The sequence below is a fragment of the Homo sapiens genome, chromosome 19, assembly GCF_000001405.40.
Source record: "Homo sapiens chromosome 19, GRCh38.p14 Primary Assembly".
Classification (NCBI taxonomy): domain Eukaryota; kingdom Metazoa; phylum Chordata; class Mammalia; order Primates; family Hominidae; genus Homo; species Homo sapiens.
The window spans coordinates 1403776-1430614 of NC_000019.10; the positions used below are offsets into that span (position 1 = coordinate 1403776).

Consider the following 26839-nt stretch of genomic DNA (forward strand, 5'->3'; position numbering starts at 1 on the left):
AATCCCAGCTACTCAGGAGGCTGAGGCAGGAGAATCGCTTGAACCCGGGAGGCGGAGGTTGCAGAGAACATCACTCTCAGTGAAATAAGCCAGTCGCAACAGGACAAATCCTATGTGAGTCCACTCCTAGGAGGTCCCTGGAGTCCTCCGATCCACAGAGACAGAACGTAGGATGGCGGGGGGGGGGGGTGCCAGGGGCTGGGGAGGGGACAGGGAGTGAGTATTTCACGGGGCAGAGTTTCAGTTTGGGAAGATGAGAAGGTTCTGGAGAGGACGGCGGTGATGGTTGCACAACAATGGGAATGCGCTTAATGCCAATGAGCTGTGCACCTACAAATAATTAAAATGGGGCCGGGCGTGGCGGCTCACGCCTGTCATCCCAGCACTTTGGGAGGCCAAGGCGGGCAGATCACCTGAGGTCAGGAGTTCGAGACCAGCCTCAACATGGAGAAACCCCGTCTCTACTAAAAATACAAAATTAGCCGGGCGTGGTGGTGCGTGCCTGTAGTCCCGGCTATTCGGGAGGCTGAGGCAGAATTACTTGAACCTGGGAGGCGGAGGTTGTGGTGAGCCGAGATCGAGCCATTGCACTCCAGCCTGGGCAACAAGAGAGAAACTCCATCTCAAAATAAATAAATAAAATAAAAACAAAAATAATTAAAATGGAAAATTTTATGTCACATATATTTTACCACAAGAAAAAAAGGGGACCAAAACTACATACCGTGTGTTGGATCTGTTTATAGTCACACTGGGAGTAAATTCAGATCAGTATCTGCACAGCCTTTTTCTCGCTGCCTTTGCCCTGGAGTGGAAGGAAGGAAATGAATGGGGAAGAGGGAGAAGCGGAGAAGTAGCCTCTTCTAGTTCTTTCTTCCTTCCTTTTTTTTCTTTTTCTTTTCTTTTCTTTTTTTTGAGGTGGGGTCTCGCACTGTAGCCCAGGCTGGAGTGCAGTGGCGCGATCTCGGCTCACTGCAACCTGCACCTCTCATGATCAAGCGATTCTCCTGCCCCAGCCTCCTGAGTAGCTGGGATTACAGGCATCCGCCACCACACCTGGCTTTTTTTTTTTTTTTTGAGATGGAGTCTTGCACTGTCGCCCAGGCTGGAGTGCAATGGTGTGATCTCGGCTCGCTACAACCTCTGCCTCCCGGGTTCAAGCGACTCTCCTGCCTCAGCCCCCTGAGTAGCTGGGATTACAGGCACCCGCCACCACGCCTGCCTAATTTTTGTATTTTTAGTACAGACAGGGTCTCGCCATGTTGGCCAGGCTGGTCTCGAACTCCTGACCTCAGGTGACCCGCCCACCTCGGCCTCCCAAAGTGCTGGGATTACAGGCGTGAGCCACCGTGCCTGGCCTGTATTTTAAAAAATATATTATTTGTAATCAGCTTGTGCCCGACTTCCTTCTTTGGGCCACATTCTGTGCATTTCATCCACCCACTGCTTCATTGTTCATTTATCCAGTCACCAATAGATGGATGTGTGGTTATTTCAAATGTTCCAGTCTTGTTTTGTTTTGTTTTTGATAGAAACAGGGTCTTGCCATGTTGGCCAGGCTGGTCTCGAACTCCTGACCTCAGGTGACCCGCCCACCTCGGCCTCCCAAATTGCTGGGATCACATGTGTGAGCCACTGAGCCCAGATTTTTTTTTTTTTTTTGGCAGGGTTTGGCTCCGTGGCCCAGGCTGGAGTGCAGTAGTGCGATGTCGGCTCACTGAAACCTCCAACTCCTGAGCTCCAGCCATCCTCCTGCCTCAGCCTCCAAGTAGCTAGGACTGCAGGTGCGTGCCACCAAACCTGGCTGATTTTTGTATTATTATTATTATTATTATTTTTTGTAGAGATGGGGTTTTGTCATGTTGGCCAGGCTGGTCTTGAACTCCTGGGCTCAAGCGATCCTCTCATCTCAGCCTTCCAAGGTGCTGGGATTACAGGCATGAGCCACTGCATCCGGCCAGTTTTATTTTAAATGGGGTTTTAGTCCCAGCTACTTGGGAGGCTGAGGAGGGAGGATAGCTGGAGTCCAGGAGTTCAAGGCTGCAGTGAGCTATGACTGCATCATTGCACTCCAGCTTGGGCAACAGAGTGAGAGCCTGTCTCAAAATAAAAGAAAAAAAAGTGTTTTGTACTATTTGTCTGTGATCTTGTTCCTTGTATTTTTTTTTTTTGAGACAGAGTCTTGCCGTGTCGCCCAGGCTGGAGTGTAGTGGCACGATCTCGGCTCACTGCAAGCTCTGCCTCCTGGGTTCAAGCAATTCTACTGCCTCAGCCTCCTGAGTAGCTGGGACTACAGGCGCCTGCCACCATGCCGAGCTAATTTTTTGTACTTTTAGTAGAGACGGGGTTTCACCATGTTAGCCAGGATGGTCTCGATCTCCTGACCTCGTGATCCGCCCACCTTGGCCTCCCAAACTGCTGGGATTCCAGGAGTGAGCCACCATGCTCGGCCCTTTTTTTTCTAAGAGGGAGTCTTGCTCTGTTGCCCAGGTTGGTGTGCAGTGGCGCGATCTCGGCTCACTGCAACCTCTACTTCCTGCCTTCAAGCATTTCTCCGGCCTTAGCTTCCCGAGTAGCTGGGATTACAGGCGCCCACCACCACGCCCGGCTAATTTTCTTTTGTATTTTTAGTAGAGACGGGGTTTCACTATATATGTTGGCTAGGCTGGTCTCGATCTCCTGACCTAAATTGATCCTCGGCCTCCCAAAGTGTTGGGATTATAGGCGTGCGCCACCTCACCCGGCCTTGTTCCTTGTATTTATTTAATTCTGTGATGATGAATAAACCAAACGATCAGGCTGTCAATGTGCTGTGAGATTAAGGAGAAAAGCAGTAGGCAGCACGTACCCGGTTTTACAAAACCCTGCGGGTCACCTGTTTACTACCGTCAGCCTAGACCGGTTTTTCCACCTCCTTCTGCTGACATTGGAGGACGGGTATCATTCTTTTTGGGGGGTCGTCGTGTGCACTGCAGGGTGCTGAGCGGCATGTCTGGTCTGGACCCACTCGATGCCAGCAGCACCCCGCACTCAAGTTGTGACAACCAAAACCGTGTTTTCAGACATTGCCAAGTTATCCCCTAGGGGGCAAAGTCACCCAGAAGAAGAACCACTGATGTATGCAATTAACAGATGCAACTAAAACAGTATTTGGCTATTAATAGTAATAGCACTTGGGGGGGGGGTCAATAATATCTTTTCATAGTCATTGAATTTAGTTAATTGTTTTGATTTGATTCCAGTTCAGCCCCGAACTGGGTGACCTTGGCCAAGTGACTCAGCCTCTCGGACCCTCGGGATCCTCTTCTGTGAAATGCGGACAGGGGAAGGAGCCTCGCGCGGGACGCTCACGTGCCGTTCCCGCTCCGTCCGCCCGCCTGGGGTGCGGGCGGGTACACTCCCACTCCCCGCAGCGCCCCACGCGGCTCCACCGCTTCCGAGTGAAGAGTTAAAGAGGAAGCGGCAGCCGCGCCTGCGCCCACAGTGCCTAGCCCGGAGCGCCGGTCTCGCAAGCGCGCACGCGCACGCAAGCCCGCACGCGCGCGCACGCACGCACGTGGCTCGGCCCGCGCGCATCCTCCCCTTGCAGGGGCGGGGCCAGCGCAGGGACTCCATTTCCCAGCGTGCCCCGCGGCAACGCCAGGAGCCTCCGAGGAGAAAGGAAAACGCGCGACGGCCCCGACTGCGGCGGCGCGAAATCCGCCTCAGGGACGCACGCACAGACGGAGTACCCCTGGACCCGCCCCCGGAGACCCCGTGCGGGAGCGCGCCCGGGCGTGCGCAGGGGCGGCGGCGCGGCGGCGCGGGGACGCGCGGTGACCGTTGGCGCCGAGGGGAGGAGGCAGCCGCCGCCGCCGCCGCCGCCGCCGCCGCCGCCGCCGCCGCCGTTGCGCAGATCCGGGCCGCGGCTGTGGGGAGGGCGACGGAGCGGGTGACCTTCCGGAGGCGGGAGCGAGCGAGGAGGCCCGGGAGCGCCGAGCGTCGCCGCCGCCGCCGCCATGAACAACTCGGGCGCCGACGAGATCGGGTGAGGACGAGCGGCGCGGGCCTGCGTCTCCGCCCCGAGCCCGGCCCGCCGCTCCCCGCCGCCCGGCCTCAGACGCCGCCCCCCGGGGCCGCCCCGTCAAGGTCACGCCGGCCGGGGGCGGACTCGGGACCCGGACTCGCCGCGGCTTCGCGCCGGGGGCCCTGGACGGGTGCCCGGGGTCTGGGGGGGTCCTGGCGCCCCCGCCGCCGCTTCCCGGCTTCCCGTCCTGGGGGATCCTGAAGGAGAGCCTGAGGGGTCCGGGGGGCCCCGCCGCCGCCTCCAGACTTCCTGGTCGGGGGAACCCCGAACGGCAACCTGGGGGGGTGTCCTGGGGCGCCCGTGCCGCCGCTTCCCGACTGCGCGTCCTGAGGGACCCCGAATGGGAGCCAGAGGGGTTCAGGGGCCCCCGCCGCCGCTTCCTGGTTGTGGCGGCCCCGAACGGGAACTTGGGGGGGTCTGGAGCGTCCCCGTTGCCGCCTGTAGGGCTTCCTGGCCTGGGGGACCCCGAATGAGAACCTGAGGGAGTCTGCGGGGAGTCCAGGGCGCCGTCGCCGCCGCCTCCCGGCTTCCTGGCCAGGGGGACCCCAAACTGTGGCGTGGGGGGTGGTCCGGGGCGCCCCCAGCGCGCGCCCAAACTTGGCGGGCGGCGCACGTGGCGAGCCGAGGCGAGGGTTCCGGTTCTGCCACCGCCCAACCTATCCCACTCGGGGCTCCGGGCTCCCCGCTCCCATCCCACCCCCCCAAAGTGGTAAGGTCGGGAGGGGTTCGCAAACCCAGGGCCCAGGGGGCTCGGGTCAGCCGGGGCCTGCTGTGTTTACGTTGCCTCGGCGCCTCCCCGCCGGGGGTGGGCTTGAGCTGCGGAAGGGAGAGTCAGCGCTTCCGAGGCGGCGACGGGCCCGCGGATCTTTGCTGCGCCGAGGCGTCCCCTCCTATAGGAGCCTGACCTGCTCCGGACCCCGCGGGGCCGGGAAACCTCATTTCGCTGTGCCCCAGGGCTCGGCGCCATTCTTTGGTAGGAGCGGCTCCTGCCGCAGCGACGTCGTTTTAGAGTTGCATTCTTCCGGCAAAACAGTCTGGGTTGGGTTTCCTAGTGGTCTGGTGTAAATTTCTCGGTGCCCTTAGCTTTGAGCAGCGCCCTGTGTTCTCAGCGCTGGGCTTGGCTAGTGCGGGAGCGGTTGCTGCTAGAGGGTTGCCTTGGCAGGCGCCTCTCGCACCAGCTACAGGTCACACTTGTGGATGGGAAATGCCTTTTGTGGGCTCTCCCCCTCCCCAGACAAAACAAAAGAGCACCTTCCGTTGGAGAACCAGGATGAAAGCACTTAGCCCCTGCCTAGCCCGTGCTGTGAGTCCTCTCCAGGCACTTTGACTTGGCAGGGTCCGTGTGCCTGTGTGAGGGACATTGCAGGGATGGGCCTGAGCAGGGAGTCCACCGGCCATGGGGGATGGAGCCATCGACTTTGGGGTGAGGCAGGGAAAGGGCTCCCAGATGGGGTACCTGGATTAGGTCCATTCAAGCCGCGGGTGAACGTGGGCCCGCTCCACCCAAGCCGTGGCTGTGAGGAGGCTGGAGAGAGGTGAGGGCTCCTGTCCCCTCCCTGCATGGACACCCTTGGGAAGTGGGGCAGCTGGGGTCCCAGCCTGGGTCTGGAGGGGTCCCACCCACAGCACAAATAGGCTCGCAGGCCACCCGGACGCCACGGGCTGCGTGGAGGAGAACTGGAGTGCATGGACCCTGCTCTCCTCCCCGGCTGCCAGGAGTGTCCACTGCTTTCTAAGTCAGACTCCTTGGGCAAGAAGTGTTGCCACAGCCGCCCGTCGCATGGGAGACCGGCTTCCATTCTATGCGGAGTCCACGGTCTGCTCTGATCTTGCTGTGTGGAGTTGTTGTGTGCGTGAAATGCTTGTGACCCTGCGAAGCGCCCTCCTGGCAAGTCCCCTGCAGGTGCGGTGGGTGCCATGCAGGAGGGTGCTGAGCTTGGATGGAAGCAGGCCCTCTCTGCGGCAGATGGCGGCTCTCAGGACGCCATGGGTCTGCGGTGTCCCTTACCCACTGGGGGGGCTCGGCAGCCTGAGGAGCTCCCTCTTCCTGATGCAGAGCCCTCACTGCTCACTGCCATGGAGGAGGCAGGAGATCCCGCCGGACCCCGCTTGGAGGGCTGGGCCTGGAGCATGCATGGGTGCGGGGTCAACGCCTCAGGAGACTTGGAGCTTGGGAGCCCCCTGTTCTGGGACACTTGTGGCCGTCCAGCTGCTGCCCTGGGAATCCACACCTGGAAGGTGGGTTAGGGAGCCATCCTTGGGGGAAGCTCTGCTTTTGAGTCTGAGAAGTCGTCCCAAGTTTTGAGGGTCCCTGTGCTGGCTTAGAAGTCCATGTAAAGCTTGATGGGGGATGAAAGTCAGCTGAGGCCTGCCGGTGATAACGGATGCCTTACACACACCGACTTCCAGTCAGCTTGAGGGGGGCTTCATGCAGGAGGAAGCGCATACGTGTGGTGGGGTGTGGGGAGTCCCTCTCTGGATCCTGGTGGGTTTGGCACGCGGACCCTACATGGTGGATGTGATGGACAGTGTCCTCCTTTGGGAGCGGGGCCTGTCCTGGTCCTCTTGTGAAGGGTGGGGGACAGGCACTGACCTGTCAGGAGGGTTAGAGGGTTGGCACCAGCAGGTGGCCTGGAGCGCTCAGAGCACGCGCGATCAGGAAGGCCCGAGTCTCCAGTGTGCCCTCCCTGGCCTTGTGAAGTCATCTTAAAGTCTGGCTTGAGCGCCTCTGACTTGGATTCTGGGAAGCTGACACAGCGCGGCCGGGGTCGCCACATCCTGTTGAGTAGCCGCTGGGTGCTAGGCGCCTGGGTGGTAGACCAGGTGTCAGGGATAGGGCCCATGCCTGGCCTACTGGGGAGAGGACAGAGGCTCAGAGGGGTCACCTCGAGCGCCCAGGCCATTGTGTTCTGCTGGCTTCCAAGGCAGCACACGGTCATGGAACTGGAGAGAGAGGTTTATGGAAGATTTTATCTGGTACACTGGGGAATGGTAAGACAGGGACACCTGGAAATATTGTAGGAAAGTCACAGAGGGAGGAAGGACTCAGCGGAGAGAGGAGAAAGCCGCCTCTGGGCAGCTTCGAGGATACCCAGGACTGTGGCCGGGGGCCATGCAGCTCAGAGCCAGGCCCATGGCAGGTCTCTGGGTTTATTGGGTGGCTGTGGAAGGAGACATCCTGAGTGGGGCTCCTGGCTGGGCCCCTAGAGGCCGTGACTACTTGTACCTGTGCAGAGTGAGCACAAGGCACCTGGCAAGATTGTTGGTCAGGCCAGAGAGGGCCGTGATCTGGGGGAGGCTGTTGCAGTGCGGGGAGTGATAGGGAACCTCATGGGGCCGTGCCGGCCTTTCTGGGGCTCTCTTGGTGCATTTGGAGTTATTCCGAGGCAGGTCTCCTGGGCTCTGTCAGCACTCTGGCCTGGATCACTCTGGGGCACCGTGGGCACTGCAGGGTGCTGGGCAGCACCTTTGGCCTCCATTCACTCCGGGTCAGGAGTACCCCCAGTCGTGACAACCACAAATGTTCCCAGACATCACCCAGTGTCCTGCTGGGGGGAGAGCCACTGTCTGGGAGCATCTGTGCTTTTGGCCTGGTTGCCCCTGCGCTGGGGGCCGCTGCTCCTTGTGGTTTATGGCTTGTCCTGTGTCGGCTCCTTTGATTCCTGTGAATGGGCCTTGAGGGTGGATGTGCTCCTGACTGGCTCGCCTTGGCTCCAATGGTCTGGAGCAGGCCGGTGTCTAGAAAGGCAGCAGCATGGACCCTGGCGCTTGCCCTTCACACAGCAGCTCCCCAGTGGCCCAGAGCTAGCAGCAGCGCGCAGCGTGCCCAGCTGTGCTTGTAGCCTTGGCTCTAACCCTTGGCTTTGCCAGAGAGACTGAGGCACAGAGGAGTTGAGGGATGGGCCCGGGGTCACCCCAGGGGGTGGAAGATCCGGAGCTGGGAGTCCACACTCCTCCACTGCCCGCCCCGCACAGAGGGCGCTCCTGGTCAGGCGGCTATGTTCATGGTGCGACCCGTCAATCTGAGGTTGTGCTGTCTTCTGTGAACTGAGGCCTTTTCCCATCCAGGCCTGGTCCCCGTGACACCATGTCATGATGTCAGAATCCCTGAGAGCTGTGACAGGGCTTTTGGCAGAGGCCAGTCATTCGACAGATGCTTATAGGCTGAGCTTCCAGCTTGGCTCCAGGCGTTGCCAAGGAGAACACTGGTCCGCCTGGGAGGGCGGGGCTGGCAGGGAGAGGATGAGGGTGACCACAGTTAGCACCCAGGATGTGGGCATTCAGGGGCTCCTTCAGCACACAGCAGCGCGTTCCAGTTCACGGACCGCTCCTGTGTTCTGTGGACCCCACACCCTGCAGGCGTGGGCTGGAGGGGGGGCATCTGACCCTGCTGGGGAGAGGGAGTCCAGGCTATGGAGGGGCGGGCTGGGCTCACTGGCCTGAGGCAGTGGGTGAAGTGGTCCTGGTTTCCCACCTGGTCTTAGGGGCAGGAAAGTCCCTAGAGGCTCTTCCTGATGCTCTGGAAGAAGAGAAGGGTTCCCCACACATCAGCCGCCACTGGGCCTGGACTTCTGCCTCTTGAGATTGTGCACGGAGCTGAGTGTGACTGGCGGAGCCCAGAGCCAGGTGGGGTCTGTGGGGAGGCAGGCTCCTCCTGGCTTGGTCCCCCGGCCCAGCAGGAAGGGAAAGGTCGCCTGCCAACTGCCCCCATTGAGGCTGCTGGCCCCGAATGGCCGGGCTGGCCGCCGGTTTTTGAAGCCCACTCTGGTGCTGCCAGGAGGTCAGGGCTCTTTGTGGTCAGCCTAGGCCAGAGGAAGCCTCTGCAGATGGACTTTACGCATAAATACCGCACAGGCACCCGAATGGCACGCAGCAAGCGAGGTTGCCATCCAAAACGGCTTTTGCTTTAACAGGCAGAAGAGGGTGGCTGCGCCGGCCACCGTGGATTGAGCACCTGCCAGGTGTCGAGCTGCAGGCCCTGGGTGCCAGGCTTGCAGATCCTGGGAGATGTTCATCATGACCTTTGATGGGCAGACTGCACGCTGGACTCCAGGTTGCAAGGGAAGAAGTGGAGCTCGTCCCACGCCTCCCCCACTAATGAGAACACCCCTTTTGGGTTTGTGGGGTGTGAGGTCTGTAGGAGCCACGACTTCCAGTGTCGGAGATGCCGTCAGCTGGGTGATGACTCTCCCACCCAGCGGGCCCCTCAGAGGCAGGGTGCAGGAGCCACATTGCTCACCGACCCCTTCATCTGCGTAGGCCAGTGTTGCCTTGCCCCGTTAACGTCCTCAGTCCACACGCCGCCAGCCAAGGTGCAGGCTGAGCAAGCCTGGAGCTGAGGACAAGCGGACCGCCAGCCCCGTAGCAAGCCCACGAGAGCCAGCAGCTCCTCCTTTTGGCCTCTGCCCGCGCCCGGCTTCCTGGACTCCGACGTTTACTTGTGTGAGAGTTGGTTCTGCTGCCTGGGCAGTTGATGGACAGTGTCTGGGAGGTGCCTGCCCAGGGCTCCGCATGTTTCTGATGTGCCGGCTTCTCACTCACGACCTGGTGAGGTTGGCAGCCAGGAGCTTTCTTATTTTATTGATTAAAACATCCTGAGATTCAGAAGTAGGGACTTTGTGCCAGGGCCCTGGAGGCAGTCCCTGCCACTGAAGAGATGACCCTGCTTTCCGGGACTTCCCGGAGGCTTCTGTCTGTAGACCAGGGAGAAGGTGTTCGCCGGTGGCTCCTGAGTGGTAGTAAAAGACACATGGACACAGGAAGCTTTAGCGTTAGAAGCTGCTCTCAAATATCTCAACAGAAACACACAGTGTGGCCGCGCGCGGTGCCTCACGCCTGTCATCCTAGCACTTTGGGAGGCCGAGGCGGGCGGGTCACCTGCGGTGGGGAGCTCCAGACACAGCTATGTGAAACGAAAGCTATCTGTTGCTGTCTCAGATTCCATAAGGACTGAGACTTGTTTCAAAAGAAACTGAAATTCTGTCTTGTTCTCAGTAATGAAAGTCTTTTATACCATAATTGTATATATAACTTCTGACTTACAGGAAAATTACAAAAATTCCCATATCCTCTTGGCCCTGCCAGACTCACCATTGGCTGACATTTTACCCTTTGGCACGTGGTGCCTCTTGCCCCACCCCCAGTGAACTGTGTGTGTGTGTGTGTGTGTGTGTGTGTGTGTGTGTGTGTGTTTAGATGGACCCTCACTCTGTCGCCCAGGCTGGAGTGCAGTGGCTTGATCTTGGCTCAGTGCAACCTCCGCCTCCCGGGTTCAAGCAGTACACCTCGAGCTCAGCCTCCCGAGTGGCTAGGATTACAGGTGCGCACCACCGAGCCCAGCTAATTTTTGTATTTTTAGTAGAGATGGGGTTTTGCCATGTTGGCCAGGCTGGTCTCGAACTCCTGACCTCAGGTGATCCGCCCACCTCAGCCTTGCAAAGTGCTGGGATTACAGGCGTGAGCCAGTGCACCCATCCCCACTGTGTGTGTTTCTACTGAAATATTTGAGAGTAGCTGGAGACCGATGCAGTCCCCTTTATGTGTACACTGAGATATCTATTGTTTCCCAAGAACAATGACATTCTCTCACATGAACACAGCACAGTGATCAAAATTGAGAAAGTGGCCGGGCGCAGCTACTCACGCCTGTCATCCCAGCACTTTGAGAGGCCGAGGCTGGTGGATCACGAGGTCAAGAGATTGAGACCATCCTGGCCAATATGGTGAAACCCCGTCTCTACTAAAAATACAAAAATTAGCTGGCGGGCGCCTGTAGTCCCAGCTACTCGGGAGGCTGAGGCAGGAGAATCGCTTGAACCCGGGAGGCGGAGGTTGCAGTGAGCTGAGATCGCGCCACTACACTCCAGCCTGGGCAACACAGCGAGACAATTTTTCAAAAAAAAATTGAGAAAGTATTTATTATTTTTTAAAATTGTATTTGAGTATTTTTTATTTTTTTAATTTTATTTAAGAGTATTTTTTATTTTTTTTTTAATTTTATTTAAGAGATGAGATCTCTGTCACCCCTGCTGGAGTGCAGTGACACAATCACGGCTCACTGCAGCCTCGACCTTGACTCAAACGATCCTTCTGCCTCAGCCTCCCAAGTAGCTGGGACTACAGGTGCCTGCCACCACCTGGAGTCTCGTTACGTTGCCCAGGCTGGTCTTGAACTCCTGGCCTCCCGTAATGCTGTGATTATAGGCGTGATCTGCGCCCAGCTGAGAAAGACAGTACTGATACCAGGTTATCTAACCCCCCCGGCCCTGTTTCAGGTTTCTCAGCTGAGCGTTTCTAGCCCTTCCCCCTTAATACACAATTTTTGAAATTTAAATGAAGACCGAAACTGGACTGGTCTGACGAGTTCCTTCTGCCAGTGAGGTGGGGGTGGAGGGGGTACTGGGCTGCTTGGAGGACACCTGCCTGTTACCTGGCTGTTGGGTGGGTGCAGTGCTGACTACAGGCTGCTGTTTCTTCAAGTGACTTGGATTTGGTTTGGTTTTCAGGGTTTTATGTGTGTGTGTGTGTGTGTGTGTGTGTGTGTGTGTGTTTTGTTTTTTTTTTTTTTTTTGAGAACTGCTTGAACTTTAATTCCAAAGGATTGTGTAAATGAGCATTTTTCCGGTCGGTTCCAGCCAGGCTTGGGGGCCCTTCCTTCATGGGGTGGGGGCTGCTGCTGGCTCCTGCTGGGTGCCGGGCCCTGCTGGCAGGGATGTGGGCGGGGCTGGCCCTGACTCAGCGCGGGCACAGCCTATGGAGAGTGAGGCACAGCCTATGGAGAGTGAGGCACGCGGAGGCCTCGCTCCTCCCACGGTCTCTAGGCCTGACCTCAACGCTCCCTGGCCTGATTGCGAAGGGTGCGTGGGAGACGTAGGATTTTAAGTTAATGAGGCCTCAACCTAAGCCTGTTGCTGTTGCGTGATCAGCATGGTTTTCCCTGAAATTTGCCTTTTCAGATCTCGTCTCTAAGGGTCAGGAAGCACAGGGCGGCTGGCACACCCCGCCTCTAATTCTTCCCGCCTCAGCCCTCCCCACCGAAGAACGGGGCTGGGGGGTTGCTTGTTGACGTTTTGAAGACGGCAGTGGGTGCCTTTCCTGTGGTGGGAACATGCTTTGTTTTTCACACACTAAATTTAAATCAGTCGTTCTTAGGGAAAAAAGAAGGAACAGGGACAAGCTCCTGGCGGTTGGCTGTGGCAGACACTTCACCAGGGGCTGACTCGCGGGGGCTGAGTGTACAGGCCCCAGGTGGTGGTTGATGAGAGGTGATGAGTGTGCCAGCCACCTTGCAGGGGTCTTTCCTGGCGAGCTGGCAGGAGCAGGGAGGAGCACGTTGCTCCTGCTGCTGGTGGGGCAGTAACGTGTTCAACCTGACAGCGACGTTTTTGCTGAAAGCCGAAGCCAAGGGTGGTGTGGTTGGCCGTCAGGGATACAGGGCCCCGCGTGGGAATGGTGCTTTCAGTGAGGCTGGCAGGATTCTTGCGGCTCAGGTGGGAGCTTTGGCCTGCACGGTGTTTTGCTCTCTGGAGACCAAGGGTGATGATGGTGCTGGCACTGAGTCACAGCTGAGATTCAGCTCAGGGACTTCATTTCTGAATGCGTGTCCTCTTTCCCAGGGAAAGCAGGCAGGATGGGAGAGTCGCCGATAGAACCACCTCTTCCCTGCCTCCTGGGCTTGGGGGAAGCTTGAATGACATCTAAGGCCCCGTGCCTGGGTAAGCCTTGTGGTGTCTCAGACATGCCCAGTGGGTGCCATGGCTGACTCAAGGTGGCACAGTCCCCATTGGGAGTTGGCACAGTCCCCATTGGGAGTTGGCACAGCCAAGGCCCTGGGGCCACCTGGAGCGGCAGTGAGGTGGAAAGGTGAGTGGGCCCTTGGGCGTCGCTGCAGGGTCGATGGCGGACGCCTTGGGAGAGCTCCAGCTCTTCTGCCCGGAGGAGACAGCCCCAGGACGGGGGTGGCGCGGGTCTTTGGTGGGGGCAGGCAGGAAGTGCCAGTGCTGAGACTGAATTTCAGGCCCTTCTCATCTGCCAATAAGAGACAGCCCCAGAATGGGGGTGGCGCGGGTTTGTCGGGGGTAAGTAAGTGGGGCCAGTGCTGAGACTGGAGCTTCAGGGCCTTCACCTTCATCTGTGGGCCTCTCGTTAGTTCGTGAGTGCAGGCTCATTGGGAGGCTTCTGTCTGTGTCCCCCCACCCCCGCCCCAGGCTGTAATTCAGAGGCCGTGTGGCATAGGCTTCTAGTTTACTGTGCATCATTTCAGATGTAGACTTCTACATTCTTTTTCCTGATTATAAAATACTCGCAAAAGCTGTAGGAAAGCGAGCCTGTGTCCCACTTGGCAGCAGTGCAGGTGAGCGTGGTGCCGTCACCACTGGCCTGTCCCAGGAACTCATCGCCCGCCACGCATGAGGTCAGCGTGCGGCTCTGTGGCACGGTCCTCTCCCCATGGCAAGGATTGGGATCATCTTTCATGTCTGCAGACAGCATGGGCGAGGCTGACTCGCCATTGCTGTGAGCTTTGTATGCCGTCACGTGCACAAGGACGTTTGCGTCAGCTGCTTCTGTGGTTTGAATTAAGACCTCAGCTTGGCTTGGATGGGGGCATTTCTAAGGCGAGCGCTGTCTTGATCCTGAATGTTTTCTCATTGAATCGCAGGAAGCTCTTCGTGGGCGGTCTTGACTGGAGCACGACCCAAGGTAGGTGGGGAAGGGGTGTCAGGTGGGTACTGCAGATGGGCTCTAGGACCTCGGCCTTCAAGTTGTGTCTGCCCGCCTCTTGCTACTGTCTTGGATATTTTAAAGTCCTTTTGACGTTGTTCTGATTTCTGGGCAGGGGACAGAGTAAGTGTGTATTTGCTCTGAGACTGTTAATTTGGTATTTCCATCCCAAGTTACAGGGAAGACCTCAGGCTGCAGGTTCCTAGCTCCGGGCTGAGGTGGCTTGTGGAGGCAGACAGCTGTTGTCTGGAAGTGCAGAGGGCTGGGGGCTGGCCAGGCTGTTACTGAGTTCAGAATAGGAGGAAAGAGTGTGTAGCAAAGTCGGCGCTCCTTGGCCACTGCCAGCATTCAGAGTTGTCTTGTTTGCCTTGCCTTAAACGTTGCCTTCCTGGACGCCTACAAAGTCAGGTTGTAACCGCTGGCCACTGCTGTGCTCACTGGCAGCCCCTGATTTACGTGAGGACCTCAAGTGTGTGTTGGGCAGAATTCCCCAGCGCTTCCCGTACACCCCCCACCCCCAGTGCAGCATCGCTCGGTGCGTGGCTGGTGGACTGGAGGAGTGTGCGTGCCGGCAGCACTGCCAGGCACGTGCCTAATGCTCTGGCCCTGTGTGTTTGTGTTTTCTTCCCGATTTCTGAGCAGAGACTCTGCGCAGCTACTTTTCCCAATATGGAGAAGTCGTAGATTGTGTTATCATGAAAGATAAAACCACCAACCAGTCTCGAGGCTTTGGGTTTGTCAAATTTAAAGACCCAAACTGTGTGGGGACGGTGCTGGCCAGCAGACCGCACACGCTAGATGGCCGAAACGTAAGTGCCCTTCCGGGAGCTCACACCCGCTCTCTGTCTCCCCTGTCCTTCCTCTGCTTCATTTTTTCCTGGACTCTGACCGATGTTTGCGTTAGAGTATGTTTGAACGTGGGGTCGATTGGGAAGGATTAAGCCTTGGTGCTGAGGCTGGATATTGCAGGAGGATACAGGGTGAATGGAGCCGGCGGGGCGGGGCGGGCCGGGCTGCTGTGCCGTGGCTGCTGTTGTGCTGACACCCTCTTTCCTAGAGAAACAGCCTCTTATTCACAACCAGCTGATTTGAAATTTCCTGCAGATCGACCCCAAGCCATGCACACCCCGGGGGATGCAGCCGGAGAGAACACGGCCGAAGGAAGGATGGGTAAGGGGCTGGGCCGGGCGGCCTCCTTGTGTGTTCTCCACTCCACGTGGAAAGGAAATGCGTGCCTTCAATCTGCTGTTGTCGCTCGTTAAGATTGAGGGCGACGCAGGTCTTCTGGGTTGGCACTCGAGCAGCTGAGGATCACCCAGATTTATCAGTGCCGTGAGTGTTTTACAGCCAAGAAAATTCTTACTAATCTATCTTAGGGAAAAAAAAAATGACAGCTCATGCCACTGATTATCAGGAGCCAGTCAGCTTCCCTCTGTGCCCTGTGTGCCCTCTGTGCCGGGCCTGCCCCCTCCCACTGCCTGGCCCTCCTCAGAGGTGGGCCATCCTTCCACTGCCGGGGCTGGGCCGGGCTGTGTCAGCTCGTGCTGGCCACTTTACTGCTCCACTTGAGATCCCCTGACGTGGCAACTTGGGTTCTCTGACCTGCGCCCTGGTGCTTGCCTGGCCGACAGGGCACTGTCCTGGCATGGGGTCTCCTTGGCATTTGGGTCTCACCACCACCCACACCTCACCTTCCTCCAGCCCTGCAGTTCTCACACCGGCACCAGGAGCCTGGTGGGGCGGTGCAGATGGGAAAGCTCTTAGCCCCATAGAACGTGCTGGACAGTGCAGACCTGGAGGCCTGCTGAGGCACCGGGTGCCAGCCTCTCCACAGTGTGGGCAGCAGGGTGGGGTCTATATGTATTTACATCCATCTCTGTCCACATACACCATTCCTAAGGACCGGAGGGTGCGTCTCCTAAAATGACGGCCACCCCTCGCATGCACCCACCGTCAGCACGCTGGAAAGCGGCTGCAGGGAATCCCGTGTCATCTGTGTCCAGGCCGTGTTCCCAGCTCCAGAATTGTTTCACAAGTGTCTCTCATAGCTGGTTTTTTTCAGACTGGAATCCAAGGTTCATATTCCATCTGGTTATTAATGTCTCTCTAGCTTTTCTTAAGATATAATGGGCACGTAGTAAACTGCACCACTTGATGATTCTGACCCATACAAACACTCATGAAACCATCCCGACCGTCACGGCAGCGAGCACTCACCCCACGCACACACTCATGAAACCATCCCAACCGTCACGGCAGCGAGCACTCACCCCACGCACACACTCGTGAAACCATCCCGACCGTCACGGCAGCGAGCACTCACCCCACGCACACACTCATGAAACCATCCCGATCGTCAACGGCAGCGAGCACTCACCCCACGCGCACACTCATGAAACCATCCCTACAGTCACGGCGGCGAGCACTCACCCCACGCGCACACTCATGAAACCATCCCTACAGTCACGGCGGCGAGCACTCACCCCACGCGCACACTCATGAAACCATCCCTACAGTCACGGCAGCGAGCACTCACCCCACGCGCACACTCATGAAACCATCCCGAACGTCACGGCGGCGAGCACTCACCCCACGCGCACACTCATGAAACCACCCCGAACGTCACGGCGGCGAGCACTCACCCCACGCGCACACTCATGAAACCACCCCGAACGTCACGGCGGCGAGCACTCACCCCACGCGCACACTCATGAAACCACCCCGAACGTCACGGCGGCGAGCACTCACCCCACGCGCACACTCATGAAACCACCCCGAACGTCACGGCGGCGAGCACTCACCCCACGCGCACACTCATGAAACCATCCCGACCGTCACGGCGGCGAGCACTCACCCTCAAAGGTTTATAGTCTTTTATTCAAAGCAGTTGGAACAACTTAAAATGTGATAGCCTTGGATAGGGAAAAAAAAAAAAAAGGATGGTTGGTGGGTGGGGGCAGGAGGAGAGCAGCCCCAGCCCTAAGGGCAGCCCGGGAGCTGGACCAGAGACTCCTGGCTCTGGCCACCCAGTGAGCGCCGAGGCCCCGGGAAGTGGTGCCCAGGAGCAGGCGCCCTTGCCAGTGGGAGGCCGGCAGAAGGGGCTGTGTGGTTTGGGCCAGTGTTTCACACAGCTCTTGAGCTGCTGGAGGTTTCCGTAGCCATCATTGTCACCTGCTGGAGATGTACAGCCTGAAATCCAGCTTCCTCTCTGCTCATTTCGTCGTCGCTGCTGCCTTTCCCCTGCCGTCCTAAAGTCCCTGCCTTCACACTGGAGCACTTTTCCACGTGGCAGTGGTTGTAATTCGGAATAGCTGAGGCAAGGCACGCACTGTGTCGTGGGTCCGTTTAGCTGAAATGTAGCTCTGCAGAAATGCTCAATCCCTGTCTCCTTGGGTCTCTCTAGAAAAGTGAGAAAGTGTCTCAGCAGAGCCCAGTGTCTTTGGACTTAGCGGGCTTGTGGAGTGTTCTGCTCTGGCTTTCAGCTGACTCTTTAAACCAGCGCGGATTGGCCTTTATGTCCTCCGCAGCTCGCGGGAGGGTTTGGAGGGTTCCCGTGTGAACTAACTATCCTTCCCTTCTTCAACAGCAGAAAGGACCCAGGAGCGATAACAGTAAATCAAATAAGATATTTGTCGGTGGAATTCCTCACAATTGTGGTGAGACAGAGCTCAGGGAATACTTCAAGAAGTTCGGAGTGGTGAGTTTCTCCCCACCCCGGCAGCACTGTGGGGACAGAGCCGCTTCTGCTCAGGCCTGGGCCTTCTTGGGGCTGGAGTGGCCGAGCCACAGGTGCACGGGCCTTTCAGGCTGGGAGCTCGCTGTCTCGTATTTCCCCAACGCCTGCGCCCTCCGGAAAGGTGGAAAGCCCGGCCTTTGCCTTCATGGCCATTTCGTGTCCCAGTAGGGTGGTTGGGCGGTGAACCAGCCTGACAGCCTTCAGGGCGGCCGCCCGATTCCATTGTGAACACCGTGGGGTCCAGTGTCAGAGAAGGGCAGTTACACAGAAACGGGGTTCAGTGTGGCCTGGGCGAGCCAGCCCCACAGAGCTGACTTTCCACTGGGCAGGTGGGAGAATGCCCGAGCTCCGTTGAGCCCAGTGCCAGAGGGAGCTGGGACAGCCGGAGGGGGCCGGCGGGGAGCCCTCCTAGTCACCCAAGGCAGGGGCGTGTGGTCACCCCAAGGTCCTGCTGGGACTCCTGCCGTGCCCCGCAGGTCACACTCCGAGCCCCGCCAGCAGGACAGCCCTGCGTGCCTGAGTACTGCGCACGTTCATCAGGTGGTACCTGAGGGTGCCACGGGCCTGGGCCAGGAATGAGAGGCCTGAGCGGGGCCTGGAAGAGCAGGGTCTGCAGAGGAGCTGTGTGTGGCTGCCCCGCCACTTCGAGTGAGGGCCGAGCGTGCCCTTTGCTTCCCGCGTTTGGGTGGGAAGGGCTTCTGTGGGGTCTCCTGGCTCCCACGTCCCCTGCTAGGATGCGTGGTCGGCGTTGTTGGCCCTTCATGTCCGTCAGCACACACGTGAGCGGGGCCACGGGCAGCCCGGAGGCGGGTATCCAGACGCCTGCCCTGGAGCTGCTTCTCCCTGCCTGCGTCTGGCCCTGGGAGTGTTGGGGCTCCAGCCTTTCTCAGACAGCAGCCCCACGGAGCAGCTGTTGCCCGTGCACCTCCCCCGCTCAGGGAGGGCGCACCCTGTGCGAGAGTTTGGGTTCGTGGGAACAGGCTGTGCCCTCGGAAGACCACCTGTGGTGCTGGCCCTGGTGTCCGTGCTGACGCCACCCTCTCCTTCCAGGTCACGGAGGTAGTCATGATCTATGACGCCGAGAAGCAGAGGCCCCGAGGTAAGGGCAGATCTAGTTTGACCTCGGCCTTCTCCCTGCTCCTCCCTCAGATGGCAAACTATCTCACCCGCCAGGCACACACAGGTGGCGGCTGTAGCAAACAGCCTCAGGAAGGGACGATTTGGAGACAAATGACTAAAACGTGGGCTCCTCATGTGCACCCCATTCAGCCTGTCTGTGCTTCCCGAGGTCAGACGTCACACATTGTTTTTTGGCTTGTTCTTTTGAAGTTTTTACGACTTGTCATGAGTCTCGGCCTGGCTTCTGTTTTTCACTGTCCGGAAGAGTGTGGTCCTTCTGCATTTGACCTTCCTTCACCCTCATCCAGTCCTCCCAGTGTGGCCGGTCTCATTTCGTGTCGTCAGCTGGGTCAGCTGGCTCGGTGTGGAGTTTGGATTTTCCGTGATCCATCCCATGCTTTTTTTTTCTTTCTTTCTTTTTTCCTTTTCTTTTCTTTTTCTTTTTTTTCAGTTTTCTCCCCTCTCTGAAGTCAGCAGGGCAGGTGGGAGGAGGGGTGAGGAGTCACCTCAGGGCCTCCCCTCATTTTCCCTCAGCTTCTTGCACACCCATCCATGCTGGTTTGTGGAGCTGGGACGATGGGCGCCCAGTTTCTGTGCCCCTTTTCCGTGGCTGCTGCTGTCTGTCCCGCCCGCCCGCATGGTTTTGGTTCATCAGCTGCTTTTGGCCGGCCACGTGAGCAGACCTGCAGCCTGGGTCTGCCCGCCACGTCCGTGCCGCCCCCGCACCACCGGCCCAGGTCAGTCGGGGCAGCCCCGAGCGCCAGGTGGCGCCGCAGCATGCCCACCATGCTGGAGCATAGTTTGCCATTTGAACCTCCCTCCCCACGGTTAGGAGTGCTCCTCCTCCATGTCGGTTACGCTGTTAAGTCTTAGTCGTAACTTAATTTAGACATACATGCTTAGTGACGTACTTAAGTGTTTCATAGTAAAGTACAGTGATGTTAAGTAAGCTGTTTTTCCTTTTCTCTCTGTGAATTGTGTGTGATTAACGATATCTCTTTAGATTTCTCTTCTCCAGGTGCTAAATTATATCACACAGGTACAGGCCAGTCCCGCAGTCAGAGGAGGGAGCGGCTTTGCTCCAGTGGGGTGTAAACGAAGTTTCAGGTGTTTCTGTCCCGCTTCCTCAGTGGTGATGTCGCCTCTTGACAGCCGCATTCCTAGACAGCGCTCAGGGCGCCTCCCCCAGGACCCAGCGCCTCTTGCACTGTGCCCGGACCAGGCGAGCCCTGTGGTTTCAGACACTCCTGCAGTTTGCGAAAATGTCTACTTCTAAATACGTTGTTTCATCACCGATGCTGTGTTCCAATACTGCCTCTGATCTTGGGAAACTTGAGCGCGCGGGAATCTGAGGGTTGCTTCTAGATCCTCCCGGTCCCCCTCCGGCTGCCCAGAGCTGGCGCCCCTTCTCCTCGCGTCCTGTCCTGTCCCGTGTGGACGGGACGTGGCGAGTGTCGCTGAGTCCACACTGGTGTACAGAGCACTTCGGGGCCAGCACGTGGCCACATGTCCTTAGCTGTTGGGCTTTGAAAGTGTCCCTTGGGTGTCAGGCGAGTGGAGGGCCGGAGAGACGCTGCGGCGCTGCTTAGCGGGTCCTCCCAGAGAGTGTGTCCCCTTCCCTTGGCCTTTCTGCATCTTCTGAGACGGGTCTGTGTCCCCCTCCCCGCCACCTCCTCCCTCTTCCTCTCCACTGACTGAAGGTCATGGCCATGTCCCTGTCAGGGACCCCGCCTGTGTCTCGGGCACACAGTGTCTGTGCGGGTCCCTGCTTGGCCCTCCCACGTCTACCCTCGGCCCGCCCGCTCCAGCCGCTGCCTCGTTCGCCTCTCAGTCCCCTCAGGTCTTCTCCATCCTGCGCTCCTCTCGCTGTGTGCCTTGCCTTCCTGGTCCCTCCTCCTCTTCCTCCTCCTCTTCCCCCTCCCCCTCCTCCTCCCCCTCCCCCTCCCCCCTCCCCCTCCGTCTGGTTGCAGACACTGCGTGCACAGTCACGCTCAGGTGCACACGTGTGCTCAGGACGGTGGGAGGCTCCTGAACCACAGTGACCTTTGTCCCCTCACAGTCTGAGCTGCCCTTTCTGCCCCGTTTCCATCTTTCCCCGCCCCCAGTTTTGCTTGTCCTGTTTCTGCCTGGTCCCAGCTACAGCAGCCCTGGCCCCTGTCTCTTCAGCTTGAGAGGCCCCACAGTAGGCTGCTCCTTCCGGGGGCCGTTGCCTGTTCCCACCCCCCACGGCCCTTCTCTGCCGCGCTCGTTCACGCCTCACGCCCGTGCTGCGCTGTCCCCTGCTGTGTGGTGCCTTGTCACGCACCCTGTGCCTCTGGCGCGGGCAGCCCATCTTCAGCCCGGTCTCAGCTCTTCCCATGTCCATCTTTGTTCTGTGAGGTCTTGGGCAGCTGTCTGCCGGGCACTTCCATCTGGGGAGGGGCTGGTGCCGCCTGGGCCCCGCCTCGGGAGGACGGTGTGCTTTGCGGTGTCACGCTCCACCTAGCCGGGGAGGCCTGGAGAGCCCGGCGCACTCCTGCGCCTAGAGGAGGAGACCCGCCCCGTTAGCCGGGGGCCGCGCCCACCCCAGACCCACTAAACTTCGTTTATACTGCCACTCTTGTGTTTGGGAAATGCTAAATTTTTTTTGCCTTTAAAATTTTCTGTTTTGATCCCATGGTGCATCTCGCTCTTGCTGCTGGCAGCAGAGTCTGACCTGCTGGAACCCGTTGTGGCCTGTATCTTTGTGCATTGTTTCTCTACCTGTATAGAACATGCATAGATGTCTACGATATGACCTCTTCTAGGACTCCTTGGGCTTACCCAACGGTGTTGCGTAAGCCTAGCGAGGCACCAGCTATGATAGATACTGTATCTGTTAACGCTTTAGAACGATATATGGCTGCTGTCAGCACTAGCTGCAAAGCAAATTGCAAGCCAAGGGGGAGAATCCTGGGTTTCAGAGAAGCATACACACATCCACGGTGCACACCCCTGACTAAGATGGCGCATTCCACGCGGGCCCCCGGCCTGCAGGGTTCACTGGCAATCTCCCCACAGGCGAGAGCCAGAATATTCAAGCACGGGCCTCTGACCCTCCCCTGGGGGGCGCTTTGTCTGCCAGTAGCGATGGAGGCCCTCACCGTTCCCCTGTCTCCGCTGCTGTTTTATAAGATGTGCTCCTTGTTCCAAATCTTTGTGACACGGAGCCCCAGCCCGGGGTGTCTGGGGCGGAGGCTTGACTCAGGCCTCAGTCAGCAGAGCCGTCACCGGGAGTGCGGACGTCACCGTCTGTCCACTCCGTGTGCAGTCGAGTGGTGGCTCCTGGGGAGGGAGGCAGCTGCCCCAGGGGCCCGCAGCGCCCCACACACAGCTTAGCTGAAACCCAAGGTCGATCCCTCGGCCCGTCCCTAATACTGTTCATCATCCTGTTTTGTGTCACAACACCCTGCTACCTTGATTCACTCTTCGTCGTTGGCTAGGTTTTGGATTTATTACTTTCGAGGACGAACAATCAGTGGACCAGGCTGTCAACATGCATTTTCACGACATCATGGGCAAAAAAGTGTGTAGTTGTAGTTTTATTTTACCTTAAGACCAAACCAAGTCTTAGGCAACTTAGGGGTTTCACTGGAAAGGAACATTCCTTCACGGAAAGGGTCGGGCGAGTTCGTCCTGTGAACCTTTGCTGCGTGAGGTGGGCCTGGGTCTGTAGACGTGAGGAGGGTCCCATCCTTCCCCAGCACCCTTCCTGCGGGGTGGGGATCTCTCAGCTTTGCTCCTGGAGCCCCTCCCTCTGGGTGACCTGGGACTGGGCGGGTAGGGGGCTGGGGCTGGGAGGCTGTGGCGGTGTTGGGGCTGGCTCCAGTGAAACCGCAGCGTTGCCTCAGGCTTGGTTTCCACGACCACTCCTTCAGATGTCTGCAAATCCCCATTGTCTGACACTGACCTGTAATGTGATCAGCAAGGGACCTTTGAGAGCCGAGGTTCCGCTTAAAATGGAAAGCACAGTGGAAACATCATGAAGGACTGGTTGTTTGAATTGGGTCACTTACTGTGGAACTCCGGCACCAGCCACATGCTCTCGGTAGTACTCAGCCACCATGCAGTCAAGTGACCTCTGGTTGTGTCATCTTCATACTGTGTTACCCCCGGAGGTGAGAGGGACAGGAGGCCACCCCCCCAACCCCCAGGCCAGCCCTTGGAAGGCATGTGTCAGAAAGGGGTCCCTAAATCCTTGTTTTACCTGGACCCTTGGAGGTTCTTGAGAAGTGGACTCTGAAATAAATAACTGGTAGAAATTCTACAGTGTGGAATTTCTTGCAGTTAGCAAAAGCTTAGGGGTCCAGGTTTTTGCAGGATTCCTGTCTTGGTCCTTTCAAACCAAGGAGCTCTGCTGGCTCTGCCAGGCCGCCTCACATGCCCAGTGGGATTCTGACCCGGCCTCCTTGGTGCGGCAGCTTCTCCCGTTAACGGAAGAAGACGCTTAGCCCCTCTGACAGGGCCATGGTTGTTTTTTCAATTAAAATGTCCTGGAGGGAGCATCGTGCTCATTATCTCCTGCCCCTGCCCTCTACCCCAGCCAGAGGTCTTGATAGCAGAACTTTTTTAAAAACAGTAGCATGTGTAGTTATTTTTGTATACACGTGGCTTAGATTGGGTTGCAGACTTCATTAATTCCATTTGAACCCAACTAAAACAGGAGACACAATCCTTGTTCTGACATCGAGTGCAGCTTGTGGTTTAAAATGAGCCTGCCGGCTGCATGGGTGCGCGACAGTACAAGCAGGGCTTCAAGGAGTCTGCGCCCAGTGTTTTAAGGGACTACGACACTGACAATTTGGGGAAAGCGTGGTCTTGATATACGGGGCAGAAAGAGCTCTGTACAGTGCACACACCTGCTGCCGTCCCTGGGCAGCCCCTGGGTCCCCCCAGCCATGACTGTTCTGCGCGAGCTCCTGAGCTGGGCGACCTCAGTGTGGGTCTCGCCTTCCAAGCCAGACAGTCGTTGGAGTCCAGCTTGCCCGGCGCCGGCCTTCACTGGTTGGCTGGAGCGGCACTTGGCGTCGCCGCCGGCCCCTCATGGGGGTTTTCCGTTTGTGGAGTGTTTGGTACCGCGTGGTAGTTAACCCTCCATGCCAGGCGACTGCATTGCTGCATTCAGGTAGGAAAGGGTGAAAGAATTTTTTTTTGTTTTTGTTTTTTTAAAGTACAAGGACCGCTCTGCTTTGTAAGCAGGAACCGCAGTCCCCTGAGGAGGGTGTGTGAAGACTCGCTCATTTGAGTTCTTTGAAATGGGTCCCTTGGTCCTGCTGTCACATTGCCTTGAGCTAACGGATCCTGTTCCCATCATAGGCCGGTCCTTGGGGCATTGGGCAGGTGGGGGCTTTGTGCCTCTGTGGCTGCTGCTGTCTGTTCTCTAACAGGCAGAACTGAGGGATTCTGAACTCAGGATGTGCAGCTCTCCAGACTGAGACCCCAAGGCTGACTCCAGGTGGATCCATTGTCTCTTTATTCTCATTACGATTTATCAGAAAAGTGAGACAAATTCAGGATTCTCAAATGCTGAGGCAGCCCCGGAATTGGGGGGATCTTTCTGTTGTTAGTCCACCCATATTTTCAAGCAGGCATTAAAGGAAGGTCAGCCACTGCGCCTAGAATAAGTAGGTCAGGCCTGCTCCATCCATTGTCCCCGGCCCCGCACCCTCCTCCTGAGAAGACTGTGGCTCCTGACACGTCTAGAGAGGAAGGGCCCCGGGCTGCTGAGCGAACACAGTATGAAGATTGCTTACTGATCCAAATGTCCATTTTATTGCATGTTTGTTACTTTTTTTGTTAGATGTAATGTAAGATTCTCTTATCACATCCATTCCCTCTGACATTAGTTTTGAGTTAATTGAGATTCTTTAAGCGTTAGCCTGGGGAAGGTAAGTCTTTATCTTCCATTAGACATTTTAAATTTAAAAATCTAAGTAAAACACCAGCCGTGTTTCTCAGGTATGAGTTAAAAGCACAGGTGGGCGGGCTCCAAGCAGTCCAGAGGGCGATGAGGATGCCGATTGCTGGGAAGATCCTGGTCCCTTTTTGTCCCCATGTTTTCAAGAGGAAGGAGGACGCTGCCATTTTACTTGAGTGAAAGACCCTTCGTCACGCACGAAACCCCCGAGGGCTCTGGGCTCGGTCCTGCTGCCCCGCAGTGGGCGGGCTCTGTGTGTCTTACGGTTGCATCTGTTGTACCTGAGAAACATTTTTTAAACAAAAAAATTCAACACAAAAGAATTTTTTAAGAAAAAAATGCTACTGGCCTAAATAAGGTTTATAGTTAAGTATTTAGTCTTAAGTTGTAAGATGCTAAGTGTAGTCATAAGTTACCCGAGGGTGTGTCTAAAGGGAAGGGGGTGCTGGGACCCGCAGCCTCGCCCTAAACCAGAGCTCGGTTTGTTTAGGTGGAAGTTAAACGAGCTGAGCCTCGGGACAGCAAGAGCCAAGCGCCGGGACAGCCAGGTGCCAGCCAGTGGGGGAGCCGGGTTGTGCCCAACGCTGCCAATGGCTGGGCAGGCCAGCCCCCGCCCACGTGGCAGCAAGGATATGGCCCGCAAGGTAAGGCTGATGCAGAGGTGCCCACGGGAATGTCCCCCTTCTCGGACTTGGCCCGCGCGCCCTGGGCTGTGCCGTCGCTGCGGCCTCCCCACCTCTGCTGTGCATGCACAGAGCCGCGGTTCACAGTGTCCTTGAGCCCCCGCGAGGTGCCGGCTGACAGCCAGCTCCCGGGCAGCACCCGCAGCCTCCTCAGTAGCGGGGTGGCCACGGCTTAGGTGCCCGTCCGGGGCCTGGGACTCATTGTCACCGGGAAGAGCTGCAGTGAGCGTCTGCACCTCGCGACCGTGTGCCACGGCAGGTCTGAGCACGAAACCCTGAGAGGGCTGGCATTGCCAAGCTGAGCTCAGAATCGGGGTGCTGCCCCTGGGGGGCTTGAGGAGCCGGCAGGCTTTGGATCCTTGCCACCTGCCGTTCCCTCTGCAGTGCCGTGGGCCCTCTGTAGTTAGGCCCACGTTGTGGGCCGTCCTTGGAGCTTCCAGCAGCCACGGAACCCCTGGGCTTGGCTGCAGCCCGACCCGAGTTGTGGGTCAGGGTTCCAGATGTACGTCGTCCGGGTCCCGAGACTGTGGCTTCCCTGCACCTCGTCTAAAACCTTTTTCTCTGGAGCCTCCCTTGTTGGAAACTCGGAGGTGCTGTGGGGACTGTCCCTGCCCTCTCGAGGCTTAGAAGTCTCAGGTTTCTCTGGGGTCCTCAGGTGGAGCCGGGAGGTCACCCGTGCCCCAGTCAGCAGACACAGTGCCCGCCACCTGGCAGGGCACAGAGGAGAGTGGCTTTAAGGCCTGTTCTACAAGGGGTGGGGAGTGCTTCTCTGCTCAGGGTTCAGAGGGCTCTGCCCTCAGGACGAACAGGCTCTAAGCACAGGAGGCTCCGGGGTTGGTCCCAGCCCTTGACGTCCATGCTCTGCGGCTCCTTCTCTGCGTCGGACAGCTGGTGGACACGGCGCCAACCTCCTCTTCTGTTCTCTTATCTAGGAATGTGGGTGCCGGCAGGACAGGCGATTGGTAAGTCCTTGTTTATAGAGCAAAGGCGGGGACAGAAGCCACATGGCAGGCTGACTCGCCAGGTGTCCTGGGGCAGCCGGCAAAGCCTGGTTCCCGTGTCCTGAGTGCTGGAGAGGAAGAGAGGGTGAGGGGCCTGCTAGGGCCCCTGGCAGGCCTGGGTCTAACTGTGGCCAGTCTGTGTTGTCCAGCGCTCTCTGTCCATCACCCCCGTACTGTGTGTTTCAGGTGGCTATGGACCGCCCCCTGCAGGAAGAGGAGCCCCCCCGCCACCCCCACCGTTCACCTCCTACATCGTGTCCACCCCTCCTGGAGGCTTTCCCCCTCCCCAGGGCTTCCCTCAGGGCTACGGTGCCCCGCCACAGTTCAGTAAGTCTAGGGGGCCTTGTGGGAGGGCCTCCCGCCTGCTCCGGAGATGCCAGGTGGTGGGCGGGGTGATGGGGAGTCTTGTGTTACACGTCTGGCCTCAGCCACAGGTGGGGTGCCGGCTGGTCAGCAGGTCACCTGCCACCAGGCCCTTCACCTGCAGATGGGCTCCATCGCCTGTGGCCTCGCTGGTTAGGCTAAAGGGCAGCCCGGGCTCCTGCGGGTTGGAGAGCTCATAGCAGGAATGTCTGGGCC

General features: G+C 58.0%; 1 protein-coding gene across 17 annotated transcripts in view, besides 7 other annotated features; it reads left to right on the forward strand.

Annotated features, from left to right (window-relative positions):
- Positions 3655-3884: a silencer, noted in NCBI's record as "silent region_9708". NCBI's record gives its function as "represses an Ori minimal core promoter by ATAC-STARR-seq in GM12878 lymphoblastoid cells {active_cell/tissue: GM12878}" and the evidence as "EXISTENCE:reporter gene assay evidence [ECO:0000049][PMID:35858748]".
- Positions 3811-26839, forward strand: part of DAZAP1 (DAZ associated protein 1) — a 28099-nt gene continuing 5070 nt past the window's right edge. For 4 of the 17 annotated variants that reach the window (NM_170711.3, XM_047438592.1, NM_018959.4 and 1 more), the window contains exons 1-10: positions 3811-4027; positions 13725-13765; positions 14429-14595; positions 14891-14956; positions 17373-17483; positions 18573-18621; positions 22103-22185; positions 25067-25220; positions 26192-26221; positions 26447-26587. In NM_170711.3, coding sequence (NP_733829.1) covers positions 3999-4027; positions 13725-13765; positions 14429-14595; positions 14891-14956; positions 17373-17483; positions 18573-18621; positions 22103-22185; positions 25067-25220; positions 26192-26221; positions 26447-26587 — 871 coding nt within the window. In that variant the 5' untranslated portion in view covers positions 3811-3998. Of the gene's footprint in view, positions 4028-4109; positions 6305-13724; positions 13766-14428; positions 14596-14890; positions 14957-17372; positions 17484-18572; positions 18622-19644; positions 19936-22102; positions 22187-25066; positions 25221-26191; positions 26222-26446; positions 26588-26839 lie in introns of those variants that run through there. The other 13 variants (NM_001352033.2, XM_047438591.1, XM_011527904.3 and 10 more) reach the window with 11 other exon arrangements.
- Positions 4025-4234: a silencer, noted in NCBI's record as "silent region_9709". NCBI's record gives its function as "represses an Ori minimal core promoter by ATAC-STARR-seq in GM12878 lymphoblastoid cells {active_cell/tissue: GM12878}" and the evidence as "EXISTENCE:reporter gene assay evidence [ECO:0000049][PMID:35858748]".
- Positions 4615-4714: a silencer, noted in NCBI's record as "silent region_9710". NCBI's record gives its function as "represses an Ori minimal core promoter by ATAC-STARR-seq in GM12878 lymphoblastoid cells {active_cell/tissue: GM12878}" and the evidence as "EXISTENCE:reporter gene assay evidence [ECO:0000049][PMID:35858748]".
- Positions 12159-12752: an enhancer, noted in NCBI's record as "H3K27ac-H3K4me1 hESC enhancer chr19:1415933-1416526 (GRCh37/hg19 assembly coordinates)". NCBI's record gives its function as "activates a minimal SCP1, AML or CMV promoter by ChIP-STARR-seq in naive H9 embryonic stem cells {active_cell/tissue: H9 hESC(naive)}" and the evidence as "EXISTENCE:reporter gene assay evidence [ECO:0000049][PMID:30033119]".
- Positions 12753-13347: an enhancer, noted in NCBI's record as "H3K4me1 hESC enhancer chr19:1416527-1417121 (GRCh37/hg19 assembly coordinates)". NCBI's record gives its function as "activates a minimal SCP1, AML or CMV promoter by ChIP-STARR-seq in naive H9 embryonic stem cells {active_cell/tissue: H9 hESC(naive)}" and the evidence as "EXISTENCE:reporter gene assay evidence [ECO:0000049][PMID:30033119]".
- Positions 19728-20606: an enhancer, noted in NCBI's record as "H3K27ac-H3K4me1 hESC enhancer chr19:1423502-1424380 (GRCh37/hg19 assembly coordinates)". NCBI's record gives its function as "activates a minimal SCP1, AML or CMV promoter by ChIP-STARR-seq in naive H9 embryonic stem cells {active_cell/tissue: H9 hESC(naive)}" and the evidence as "EXISTENCE:reporter gene assay evidence [ECO:0000049][PMID:30033119]".
- Positions 20607-21485: an enhancer, noted in NCBI's record as "H3K27ac-H3K4me1 hESC enhancer chr19:1424381-1425259 (GRCh37/hg19 assembly coordinates)". NCBI's record gives its function as "activates a minimal SCP1, AML or CMV promoter by ChIP-STARR-seq in primed H9 embryonic stem cells {active_cell/tissue: H9 hESC(primed)}" and the evidence as "EXISTENCE:reporter gene assay evidence [ECO:0000049][PMID:30033119]".